The sequence below is a fragment of the Homo sapiens genome, chromosome 20 (genome assembly GCF_000001405.40).
Source record: "Homo sapiens chromosome 20, GRCh38.p14 Primary Assembly".
Classification (NCBI taxonomy): Eukaryota; Metazoa; Chordata; class Mammalia; order Primates; family Hominidae; genus Homo; species Homo sapiens.
The window spans coordinates 49,620,236-49,632,850 of record NC_000020.11 but is presented as its reverse complement, the minus strand read 5'-3'; the positions used below and the strand labels follow the sequence as shown (position 1 = coordinate 49,632,850).

The 12,615-nt window shown below is 47.3% G+C and overlaps 1 long non-coding RNA gene across 1 annotated transcript, besides 6 other annotated features; it reads left to right on the top strand.

Moving 5' to 3' along the window:
- Positions 1–654: 654 nt before the first annotated feature.
- Positions 655–3,067, top strand: LOC124904926 (uncharacterized). The gene is made up of 2 exons (XR_007067638.1): positions 655–915; positions 1,535–3,067. It is a non-coding gene; the product is annotated as an uncharacterized LOC124904926 (long non-coding RNA).
- Positions 908–1,590: an enhancer, noted in NCBI's record as "H3K27ac-H3K4me1 hESC enhancer chr20:48247798-48248480 (GRCh37/hg19 assembly coordinates)". NCBI's record gives its function as "activates a minimal SCP1, AML or CMV promoter by ChIP-STARR-seq in primed H9 embryonic stem cells {active_cell/tissue: H9 hESC(primed)}" and the evidence as "EXISTENCE:reporter gene assay evidence [ECO:0000049][PMID:30033119]".
- Positions 1,641–1,960: an enhancer, noted in NCBI's record as "active region_18066". NCBI's record gives its function as "activates an Ori minimal core promoter by ATAC-STARR-seq in GM12878 lymphoblastoid cells {active_cell/tissue: GM12878}" and the evidence as "EXISTENCE:reporter gene assay evidence [ECO:0000049][PMID:35858748]".
- Positions 2,191–2,240: an enhancer, noted in NCBI's record as "active region_18065". NCBI's record gives its function as "activates an Ori minimal core promoter by ATAC-STARR-seq in GM12878 lymphoblastoid cells {active_cell/tissue: GM12878}" and the evidence as "EXISTENCE:reporter gene assay evidence [ECO:0000049][PMID:35858748]".
- Positions 5,559–5,628: an enhancer, noted in NCBI's record as "active region_18064". NCBI's record gives its function as "activates an Ori minimal core promoter by ATAC-STARR-seq in GM12878 lymphoblastoid cells {active_cell/tissue: GM12878}" and the evidence as "EXISTENCE:reporter gene assay evidence [ECO:0000049][PMID:35858748]".
- Positions 11,955–12,024: an enhancer, noted in NCBI's record as "active region_18063". NCBI's record gives its function as "activates an Ori minimal core promoter by ATAC-STARR-seq in GM12878 lymphoblastoid cells {active_cell/tissue: GM12878}" and the evidence as "EXISTENCE:reporter gene assay evidence [ECO:0000049][PMID:35858748]".
- Positions 12,155–12,204: a silencer, noted in NCBI's record as "silent region_13000". NCBI's record gives its function as "represses an Ori minimal core promoter by ATAC-STARR-seq in GM12878 lymphoblastoid cells {active_cell/tissue: GM12878}" and the evidence as "EXISTENCE:reporter gene assay evidence [ECO:0000049][PMID:35858748]".

The window sequence follows — 12,615 nt, the reverse complement described above, 5'->3', positions numbered from 1 at the left end:
GCTCAGCTGAGCTCTGGGTCTTGCTGGGGTAAATACTGCCTGACCCGTGCTGCAGGTGAACGGGCTGAGTAAAAAGCTACGCAGTGTAACAGAAGCAGTCCTCCACTGTGCTGCCCAGGCATGCCCACGCTTGGGTTTTCTTTCAAGAATCACCCAGGTGGTACCAAGAAAGTTGCATAAGACACTTGAGTGAGGGGACTTGGGGGTGAAGGGGGTGGTGAGGGTTGATGGAGTTTGATTCCAGAAGGTTCTCTGGGATCAGTGTAGGGTTTATATGCCAGATTCTGCTCAGAGATTGTCATCATGGCTTCTATGTGTTGAATGTTTGCCACTCACAGTATTAATAGTGTCAGATGCCGGGGACATAATAATAGAGAAAATAAGACAGGATCAGTGGACTCATTAAACTTACGGTCCACTGGGGGGTATGATTAAAATTGTATCCTCAATACCTGGTCCAAAAGGGGAAGCTGCAGGTGACGAGTGCATGGTAGGGTGGGCATTCCAGTTGGGAATGTAGGGAAGGTGGAAGCAAGTGAGCTAGGGGGAGACAAGGAGCGTGTGGCACACAGCTGCAGGGCAGGGAGGAAGCCAGCGTGGCTGGAGTAGAGGGGGCAGGGGGGCGCACAGGGGGAGGAGTTTGCATTTCATCCTTAGAGCAGTGGATTCAAGAGTTTTCAGCAGGCAGGGCTGCGTGATGCGATTCGGATTCCATAGCAACTTTGAGAGATGGCTCTGGTTGCAGGGAGAACGAGCGATGGTACAGAAGCAGAAGAGAAGCAGGGGCGAGTGAGATGGGTGCAGGGACGACGGAGGAGGGGAGACTGGGAGATACTGAGGTCGTGCTCCCAGGACCTGCCAGGGGTGATGGGGATGGAGGACTCCACCTAAGCTGCTGGCTTCCCACTTGCACAGGTAACAGGGCCATTCCCTGAGATGGGGGCACTAGAGTCAGACCAGATTGGCGGGATAGATACGAGATCAGTTGTGACTGCTGAGTTCAGGGAGTTTTGAGACAACCTGGCAGAGACAGCAGGGTGGGGGCTACAGGCAGACTGGGGAGTCTTTGGGTGGAGGAGGTTAGTAAGGACCCAGCAGCGGGTGAGATTGCTGGGGGATTGAGAACAGGAAGCATGGAGTAAGAGAAGGCAGCAGCCTTGGCCCAGCCTCTGAGAACCTGGTTGAGAAAAGGAGGATGAGTGAGCAGGAGGAGGGGTGGGAGGACAAGCAGGCCAAGAGGGAGAGTGGTCAGCCGTGCTGAAGGCAGCAGAGAAGCGATACAAGAGGAAGAGGGAGAAGCAGTGAGTTGGCAGTGGCCAGGTGTTGGAAATGTGGCAGGAGCCGTTTTGCTGACCTGATGGGGTGGAAGGAGGAGATAGCAGCAGAGTGGGTGTCTCTTGGATTTCCTGGGAAGGGGTGGAAAGAGGAGGTCAGGGCCACAGGAAGCGCGGGAAGCTGGGGGTGGGAGGTGAGGTGGGGTTGGGTTTTGGTTTTCCCACAAGAGAAGCTTGAGTGTGTTTCTTCTGAACCACAGGGAATGTCTGAGAGAGCACAGCTGAATACGTACAAGAGACCAGGTGATCTGGTGGGAATGTCCCTGAACTACTGGCAGGAGATGAGATTCAAACCAGAAAAACCAAACAGAAGGAACGAGGAGCTCTGTATAGGCCATCCCATTGGCAGACACACACCCCGTGAAGACTGTTGTTGCTGTGGAGGTCAGAGATCCCTTCCAGCCAGCTGCTGGAATTGGGATTCAGCAGAACTGATTCCTGGCACTACCACGTCCTCCATACTCTCAACATTTTTTTTTTTTAGTTTTCAGGGAAGTCCAGTAATAAAAATAGTTCCTATTTATTGAGTACTTGCTATGTGCCAGGGCCTATGCTAAGTGCATTGCACACCGTGAGTCCTCAACCCTTGAGAGGCGGGCACTGCCCCTTGTTCTGGAGCACGGCTTCTCCACATTGCTCTTGACAAATGGGGGAGCTGTCCTGCTCATTGTCGGGTGTTCAGCAGCACCCCTGGCCTCCTCCCTCTAGGTACAAACCCAAATGGAACAGCTACTCTAGACAAACTGAAGCCACAGCTTGCCTGAGGTCACAAAGCTAGCAGCTGAGCCGGCTGGGGACATTTTTGCCCCAGGGAAGACGCTCTTAACCCCTAGGCTGCTTCTGCTGACCCAACTCTTTTGCATATGTGCTCTAAATAGCTTTTGTTCACAGAGTTGAAAAGTCTATTCTAAAAGTAACGTGAATATGTGCTTGCTGGAAAATAAGTGTTAAACCACTCCTTTAATATTAGCAGTTTGACTGATGTCTACATTTTTTAGTTTTTTTGAGACGGAGTCTCTGTCACCCAGGCTGGAGTACAGTGGCACGATTGTAGCTCACCACAGCCTCAACCTCCTGGGCTCAAGTGATCCTCCCGCCTCAGCCTCCTAAGTAGCTGGGACTACAAGCCCACACCACCACGCTCAGCTAATTTTTATAATTTTTGTATTTCTTGTAGAGATGGGGTTTCACCATGTTGTCCAGATTGGTCTCGAACTCCTGGGCTCCAGCCGTCCTTTTGCCTTGGCCTCCCAAAGTGCTGGGATTCCAGGTGTGAGCCACCATGTCCAGCCATTGGCTGATGTCCAGATCTATACCTGTATACCTATATGCATGCTTAGGAAAACAAAGGCATAGTTTAAAAACCATAAGTTGTCCTGTAATTACTTTTGTTTTGTTTTGTTTTTTCTTAATGTTTCTGGAGACCTCTTTTCCGTGAATGAAGAGCTCCCTCAAATAAAGCCCAGATGTTACCTCCTTGGAGAAGATTTGATGAGCACCCAGTCTGAAATGCCACCTCCCTGTCCCTGTCCCCCCTTACCCTGTTTTATTGATTCACAATATTCTCACTCTGAATCGTACTATATTTTTATTGTTCTTTGTTCATTGGCTGTCAACCCCACTAAAATATAATCCCCATGAAGGCAGAGACTGTTTTGTTTTCTGCTCTATCCCCAGAGCTAAGAACTGGTCTTAGCACATAGTAGTTGCTCAATAAATATTTGTTGCATGAATGACTGAACCTATCTTATTATTTGAATTGTGACACATGGTAATCTCTTGTGTGGATGTATGTAATTTAGCCATTCCCCTCCTAATGGACATGGAGGTAGTTTCCAGTTTTCCACTATCACATTATATGCACCACAGTGAACACAGATGCACATCAATCCATGTGCACATATATGTGTAGGCCAACTTGAGAGAGTCAAGAAATGAAATTGTTGGAGCAAGGGATACACACCCACACCCACACACACACACACACACATATATATGCACACATGCACACACAAATACATACATATATTTATTTGTTTATGATATAAGGTCTCACTCCGTCACCCCAGGCTGGAGTGCAGTGGTGCGATCATGGGTCACTGCAGCCTCAACCTCCCGGGCTCAAGCTATCTTCCCAACTCAGCTTCCTGAGTAGCTGAGACCACAGGCACACACACCACACCTGGCTAATTAGTGTATTTTTTGTAGAGACAGGGTCTTACTATGTTACCCACACTGGTCTCAAATTCCTGGGATCAAGTGATCCACCCGCCTTGTCCTCCCAAAGTGTTGGGATTACAGGCGTCAGCCATCACGCCCCACCTGCACATTTTAAATGTTGAAGGAGCCTACCAAGTTGTCCTACAAAAAGGCAGTATGAATTAATCCTTCTACCATCAGTGAATGATCATGCTATTTATATCTTTAACCCCTGGAATTAAAGGGGATTTTGTGTATGATATGGTCAGGAGGGGCGGTCTATAATTTATTTTTTCCAAATGGATTGCTAATTGTCTCAACAGTATTTATTGAACAATCAATAATTTCCCCATGTCTTACACATTAAATTCTGTAGCAAGATTCTTCCATTTCATTGAGCTATTTGTCTTATTATGCCTTACAGTTTTAATTATGATAGCCCTGTAGTATGTTTTTATAAGACAAGTTTATCTCTACTTTCTATATCCTACCCCAAATTTTGTAAACATTTATAGAAGTGTAATATACATACAGAAAAGTCCATAAATCCAAAGCAAACAGCTCTTTTGTCAGGGTGAACATACTTACACAACCCCATTCTCATCAAAATTTTCAGCCAGGCATAGGCAGGAGGGTCACTTGAGGCCAGGAGTTCAAGACCAGCCTGGGCAACATAGTGAAACCCTGTCTCTACAAAAATTTAAGAAAAAATTAGCCAGGTGCAGTGGTGTGTGCCTGTAGTCCCAGCTACCGACGAGGCTGAGGCTGGAGGATCACTTGAGCCCAGGAGAGTGAGGCTACAGTGAGCCATGATTGCACCATTGCACTCCAGCCTGGGTGACACAGAATGAGACTCTGACTCAAAAAAATTGTTTTTCTTGGCTATGTTTATGTATTTTCTCAATCCGGTGAGATTTATTTTGTCAAGTTATATTTAAAAATCTATTTAAGGGCCAGGCATGGTGGCTCATGCCTGTAATCCCAGTACTTTGGAGGCCAAGGCAGGAGGATCACTTGAAGCCAGGAGTTTGAGACCAGCCTGGGCAACAAAGAGACCCTGTCTCTATATTTTAAAAAATTGCTTTTTAAAATCTAGGATCATGACTGACATTGCACTAAATTAATGATCTGGGAAGACAGCATCTTTAGCATCTTTACAGTATTAAGCTTTACCTCTAGACTTACCAAATTCTTTTGCTGAGGTCAGGCGCTGTGGCTCACGCCTGTAATCCCAGCACTTTGGGCGGATCACCTGAGGTCAGGAGTTTGAGACCAGCCTGGCCAACATGGAGAAACCCCGTCTCTACTAAAAATACACAAAAAAATAGCCAGGCATGGCGGCAGGCGCCTGCAATCCCAGCTACTTGGGAGGCTGAGGCAGGAGAATCACTTGAACCCGGGAGGTGGAGGTTGCAGTGAGCTGAGATAGTGCCATTGCACTCCAGCCTGGGCAACGAGAGCGAGACTCTGTCTAAAAAAAAAAAAATGCTAGTTTCCTCCTAACCTGGTACCCTCGATGCCACAGTACCTTGCAGGTGGGCTGTTCTTAATAAATACAGTCACTGAGTAACAATTCAGATTTACCATCACATGCAAACTAGCTGTAAGGGCAAACGGTTAAGGAGGATTTATGCCGCTTGTGAAATGCAACCTGCTAGATGCTGGCAGAAAACTTTCCAGGCAGGCTACATGCCATGAGACTCCTTGAGGAAGCACAGCCCTGAGTACTTTTCTCACTGCTCCAAGACACACCTTTTCTCTGCCACCACGCCCGCCCCACACAGCACCCTGCTACGACTAGATGTGGGACTGACAAATGCCACTGTTTGACTTATTTCTAGGACAATGGTGGGTGGCAGTCATGTAGGAGAGAGGTCTCTGCTGTGTAGGGAGGCTCGGAGGTAAGGAATAGGTGGGAGTAGGGTATACATCTTCCACTGTGAATTCTAGGAAGAGCAGGGCCCAGGAGAGATGATCTGCTGGTTGCACTTCTACAGCCAACAACTCCATGGCCTGGGGAAGTCACTTCACTTCCCTGCAACTTCATTTCCTTGCAGTCAGATGGAGAGACAGCACTTTGGGAGGCTGAAGCAGGTGGATCATTTGAGGTCAGGAGTTCGAGACCAGCCTGACCAACATGGGGAAACCCCTTCTCTACTAAAAATACAAACATTAGCTGTACGTGGTGGCACATGCCTGTAATCTCAGCTCACTCAGGAGGCTGAGGCAGGAGAATCGCTTGAACCCTTGAGGCAGAGGTTGCAGTGAGCCGAGATCGCACCACTGCACTCCAGCCTGGGTGACAGAGCAAGACCCTGTCTCAAAAAAAAAAAAAAAAAAAAAAGCCAAGAGGACAGGGCTCAGAGAGCTTCCAGATAGCTGAACACACGGAGGTTTGTAAGAAGGTGAACAAGAACTCATCCACGTGCTGGGAGGGTGGCATGGGGACAGGCTCAGGACCCTTCCAGACCTCACTGTGTGTGTCTCATCTGGCTGTTTAACTGCGTCCTTTAAAAGAACCTTTGTCATAAACCAGTAGACGTAAAAGTAAGTTTGCCTGAGTTCTGTGAGCTGCTTTAGCAAATAAATTAAACCCAAAGAGCGGGTTTGGAGCTGATCGGTCAGAAGTTCTGGAAGCCTGGACTTGTGACTGGTGGGAAGGAGGGGACAGTCTTGGGGACTGAGCCCTCAACCTGTGTGACCCGAGGCTATCTTCAGGTAGACAGCATCGGAGTGGAATTGGGGGATGCCCCGCTGGTGTCCACTGCTTGGTGCTTGGGGAAAAACAGACACACATTTGGTCATGGAGATGTTCTGTGGCCAGGTGCACTGGCTCACACCTATAATCCCAGCACTTTGGGAGGCTGAGGTGGGCAGATCACCTGAGATCAGGAGTTCGAGACCAGCCTGGCCAACATGGTGAAAACCCATATTGACTGAAAATACAAAAATTAGCCAGGCGTGGTGGTGGGTGCCTGTAATCCCAGCTACTCTGGCGGCTGAGGTGGGAGAATCACTTGAACCCGGAGGCGGAGGTTGCAGTGAGCTGAGATTGTGCCACTGCACTCCAGCCTGGGTGATAGAGTGAGACTATGTCTCAAAAAAAAAGTCTTTAGTGTTGATTGCTGTAGTGTGAGAGCAGAGGAAAAACAGTTGTTTTTTCCACCGTCACAGGGGCTGTATGCAGTCTCTGTCACTCAGCTATTCAACTTCTCAATTCTGCCCTCATAGCTCAAGCAGCCCCAGACAATATGTAAACAAACAGGCTTGGCTGCATTCCAATAAAACTTTATTTACAAAAACAGGTGGGTGGCCGTAATTTGCCAACCCCCGAGTTTGGCTGAAAATCAATAGAAATGTGAACGGTGACGGAGGATTACGAACAGGGAGGCAAACCAGGGGAAAAATAACAATGTGTCCTGGCTAGTTCATCGCTATGTAACACATAATAGCAATAACATGGAAGGAAATCAAACCCCCTGAGGACACAAGAGTGGCTAAACAAGCCAGGCTCTGTCAACACAGAGGAAAAGGAAGTGCCACAAAGTGACAGATTACACAGGAACAAGAAATGGCAGGGCTGTGAGTGAAGACTGCAAGTGAAGAAAGGACACACCACAAGAAGGACGCGCTCATTACAACAGAACCCTGGGCTGGGCGGCACGGTGGCTCACGCCTGTAATCCCAGCACTTTGAGATTCCGAGGTGGGAGGATCGCTTGAAGCCAGGAGTTCAAGACCAACTTGGGCAACATGGCAAGGCCCTGTCTCTACAAATATATATATATAAAATTAGCTGGGCATGATGGTGTTACGTTTGTACTTCCAACTATTCGGGAGGCTGAGGTGGGAGGATCCACCACTGCACTCTAGCCTAGGCAACAGAGTGACACCCTGTCTCAAAAACAAATAAATTTTACATTCCTTGGTCCTCGGACATGGCTAAAGAGATCTAGGGCAATAGAGACACTACATTTTTGTGTCTGTCAATCCGCCTGATGACAGAAATAGAATAGAGTCTGGGTGCAGAGGGTCATGCACGTAATCCCAGCACTTTGGGAGACTGAGGCAGAGGATCACCTGAGGTTGGGAGGTCGAGACCAGCCTGGCCAACATGGTGAAATCCCGTCTTTACTAAAAACACAAAAATTAGCTAGGTGTGGTGGCGGGCACCTCTAACCCCAGCTACTCAGGAGGCTGAGGCAGGAGAATCGCTTGAACCCGAGAGGTGGAGGTTGCAGTGAGCTGAGATCGCGACACTGCACTCCATCCTGAGCAACAGAGTGAGACTCCATCTCAAAAAAAGAAAAAAAGAAAAAAGAAAAGAAACAGAATAGAAGTAAAACAGTTTAGTACTGAAATGAACTGTTGAGAATCTTAGCTGCCCCGTCCCTCTCTAACATCATATATACTGTGAAGTGCTGTTTTCGTCTTGTTTTGTTTTGTTTGTCTTTTCTTTGTCTTTCTTCCCAACTGGGACAGGGGACAAAGGACGCTGTTTTGCTCCCTGTTCCATCTCCAGCACCTAGTCCAGAATTCGGCATACTGCAGGACAGAAGGCAAGGGGCAGATGCTCAAATATTTGCTGAGTAAATGACAATGAACCTTCTCAATCTGAAGATTCCAGATGTAGGAAGAGCCAGACACCCCCAGGCTGAACCCACTCAGAAGCTGGGTGCTCTTGGTAAAGTCACATTTCTCTTATACTGTTTTCTCATTTGGAGAAGGGAGGTGGTAAAACTTTCCACATGAAGTTATTGTGAAGAGGAAATGCAGCAACATATGTGAGTTACCAAGAACAATGCTTCACACACGACAGGTGGTCGGTCAATGGAAGCTTTCATCATGGCAGCTTCACTGCAAAGCACCGTCTATAAATCTAAAGTACTCTTGCTATTTTTGTTGTCTGTTTTTTTTTGTTTGTTTGTTTTGTTTTGTTTTTAATGAGACAAACTCTTGCTCTGTTGCCCAGGCTGGAGTACAGTGTCGCGATCTCGGCTCACTGCAGGCTCAATTTCCTGGTCTCAAGTGATCCTCCTACTTCAGCCTCCCGAGTAGCTGGGACTACAGGCATGCGCCATCACACCTGGCTAATTTTTAAGTTATTTGTAGAGACGAGGTCTCCCTATGTTGCCCAGGCTGGTCTTGAACTCCTGACCTCAAGTGAGCCCCTTGCCTCAGTCTCCCAAAGTGCTGAGATTACAGGCATGAGCCACCACATCCAATCCTAAAGCCTTAACGCCTTTTTCTTTCTTTCTTTTCTTTTTCTTTTTTTTTTTTTTTTTTTTTTTTTGAGACAGAGTCTCGCTCTGTCACCCGGACTGGAGTGCAATGGCGCGATCTCGGCTCACTGCAACCTCCACCTTCCAGGTTCAAGCGATTCTCCTGCCTCAGCCTCCTGAGTAGCTGGGATTACAAGCGCGCACCACCATGCCTGGCTAATTTTTGTATTTTTTTTTTAGTAGAGACAGGGTTTCACCATGTTGGCTAGGCTGGTCTCGAACTTCTGACCACATGATTCACCCACCTCGACCTCTCGAAGTGCTGGGATTACAGGCGTGAGCCACTGCGCCTGGCCAAAGCCTTGTTCTTAAGACCGACCTACAAGAGAAGTAACTGGGAGCCAAGATTGCCAACCTTGCTGGTGGCAAGGCCACTAACATTCCTGTTGACAGAATAATCAGTGGAACCAAATACAAAGTAATAAACCACATATTAAGATTTGTTTGCCTATCATTGAGAAATTTTTCTTTTTTCACACTTTTTGGTTTTAGATCCACTGACTAATAAAAATATAGCTGCAGTGTCATAAGTTGGTCACAGCTGGAATGTATAGTCCAGATTTCTCTCAGCAAAATAATTTTTTTTTTTTTTGAGATGAAGTCTTGCTCTGTCATCCAGGCTGGAGTGCAGTGGTGCAATCTTGGCTCACTGCCACCTCTGCCTCCCAGATTCAAGTGATTCTCCTGCCTCAGCCTTCCGAATAGCTGGGATTAAAGGTGCACACCACCACACCTGGCTGATTTTTGTACTTTTAGTAGAGATGGGGTTTTGAACTCCTGACCGCAGGTGATCTGCCTGCCTTGGCCTCCCAAAGTGCTGGGATTACAGGCGTGAGCCACTGCACCCGGCGGAACTAGCATTTGAGTTGGTGTCAGGAGCTGCCTGTCAGGCCTGGGGTGTCCCAGTGGTCAGTGACAGCATCAAGGCCGCTGCAGATATAAATACAACATAAGTAAAGACAATGGGTTTATTAGGGTAAAGTGGCTTCAAGAAAAGCCTCCTATCCCAGGTGGCCATAGAAACTCTTTTTTTTTTTTCCTTTTTGAGACGGAGTCTCGCTCTGTTGCCCAGGCTGGAGTACAATGGTGCTATCTCACCTCACTGCAACCTCTGCCTCCCAGGTTCAAGTGAGTCTCCTGCTTCAGCCTCCTGAGTAGCTGGGATTACAGGTGTGCACCACCATGCCTGGCTAATTTTTGCATTTTTACTAGAGATGAGGTTTCACCACGTTGGCCAAGCTGGTCTCGAAATCCTGATCTCAAGTGATCCACCTGCCTTGGCCTCCCAAAGTGCTGGGATTACAGGCATGAGCCACCACACCTGGCATAAATCTGTAGCCACTGTTTATTGTGCTCGCTTTACAGATGAGGAAACATGCTCAGCAAGGAAACTCTGGTCTAGTGAGAGTTTGTAAATGGCAAAGTGAAGTTGCAAAGTAGAGATGTTTCCAAGCCACATTCTCATTTCATAATCCAATAAAATTCAGAATAAATTATCAAAAGCAACCTCAAAATTTTAACTTCTTGAAAAATAGCTATTATTTCTAAATGGCCCCTGAATCAGAGGAAAATCAGAACCAACATGGAAACTTATCTAGAGTCTTAAAAAGCAGACACTGTTCATACCAAAGTGTGTGAGACATAGCTAATGCTGCCTACAGAGGAAAATGTATAGCCTTAAAGACGTCTATTATTTTTAAAAATTGAAAACAAAGTGGATTAAGTATTTAACTTAAGAAAATAGAAAATATAAGAAGCCAAAAGGATAGGAATAAGAAATTAAAGGTAAACTATGCAATTAATGAAATAGAAAAAACAAAGTAGAAGTGATAAATAAAGTGAAAAAGGTGTTCTTTAAAAAGAAAGCACCTGAAGACAGATAAATCCTGACAAATCTGATTGATTAAGGCAAACAGTAAAAAGAGCAAGATTAGCAATAAGTAAGGAGACAGAATCATGAAATCATTATTAAGCCATTCAACAAATAGATAACACCTACAACGCATTGGTTTCTGGTTTAGAGGCTGCAGGTAACAGAGTTGAACAAGGCAGATGTGATTCCTACCCCCACGGAGTTTATTCTGATGGAAGGAGACAGGAAGTCAACTAGTAAAGTCATAAGATAGTTTCAGACAGTGAGAAGTGGTTTAAAAGGAAGGTAACGTGCGAGGAATGTGGAACCACTTTAGATCGGATAACCAGGGAATATCCCTCTGAGGAGGTGACGTGTCAGATGAAACTTGAAGGACGTAGAGTCAGCCATGGGAAGATCTGAGGGAAGAGAACGTCAGGCAGCGGGAACAACAAGAGCAAAGGCCCTGCGGTGGAACACAGCTGCTGTCTCAAGAAAAAGAGAACATTGAACGTCATGATGGATTGTTATAAAAGAGAGAGAGAGAGAAAGGGCTGAAGCACAGTGAAGGGAGAGGTCATAGGCAGAGGCAGGGATCACTCAGGATTTTATTCTGAGTGTGTTTTGTTCTGGGAGGCCATTTGAGGGTTTCAAGCAGTGAAGTGAAGTGATCTGATTTCTGTGCTGGGAGACCTCCTGTGGCTTTGGGTTCCTGGTGCAGATTGGACTCTGTTGGTGAAGGGCCAAGCATGAATGCTGAGCTCTGGGGAGGATCTTAAGGCTGCATCCAGATGAGAGGTGATGGGTTGGCTCCAGGCGGTGGAAGTGAAGAGGAGTGGACTTCAGTGGAGATTGTAGTCTGCCACCTGGATTCTCCTTCAGGACAGAGGCTCCAGGATTCGCCTTCAGCCAAGGAGAATCGCCTTGCCTAAGACTGCCTCCTCCATAGGGGCAGGCCACCTCCAACGTCGGGTTGACATGGGGGTCTAAGGACCCCATTTCATGGTCCTGATGTAGGCAACTCAGAAGGGCTGTTCCAGCCTCTGAGCTCTGGTGAGGCCTCTGGTGTGCCTGCATTCCAGCCCCACATCACTGCCCCCCACACCACTCTACCCCCTTCACAGGTGCTGTGCGTGAGAGCACTCCCCAGTAAACCACCTGCGTGCCCAGCTCTCTGAGTCTGTTTCCCAGGGAACCCAATCAAAGACGCTGATCGATCAGAAGAGCGGTACAAGTAGAACACACCACTCAGTGGCAAGTCCTTTCTCCACAGATGATGACTCAGGGAAGGTCCCAGAGCCTCTGGCAGGTCACAGAACCTCTGGCAGAGCTGAGGTGACCCCAAGCTCTCCTCTTCACAGCTCTGCTCCTCTTCCACCTGCAAACCAAGAGTCACAATGGAAGGGCCCAAGGTCTGCAAAAACCAAAAGTGTGTCAGCAGGACGGGACACTGAAGAAGTGCCACTCTTAGTTGTGGGAGTCTTTGTGGCTTTGGTTGCAATTACGTGGGAGTGTGCTTTTTAGTCTGACACTGTGCTGCTCTTATAATTGGAGGATCAGGTCATTGGCATTCAAATCAGTCCCTCCCGAGAGACACTGCCAGTCTAGTTTCTGGTAAGTTTCAATTTTCCTGTTGCTGCAGAGCCCCAGCTTTACATACTTTTGAAACCTTGGCCAGGAGCAGTGACCTGAAACAGTGAAACTGCTCTCCTATTCTAAATTTGAACTGTTCAGCCCTCTGGGTCTGAAGCTTCCTGCTTTTCGCTTGCTGGCTTTTTGGGGCAGAGTGGGGCTGCTTTCACTTGCTCACTCGCTCACTCAGTCATGTATTTATTCATCAGACATCTCTGATGTTGCTGACCAAGGGCTCAATGTCTAGACAGAGAGATGAAGATGACCCTGCCCTCAAATGGCTCATGCCCAGATCAAGGAGAGAGATGGTTAACTGA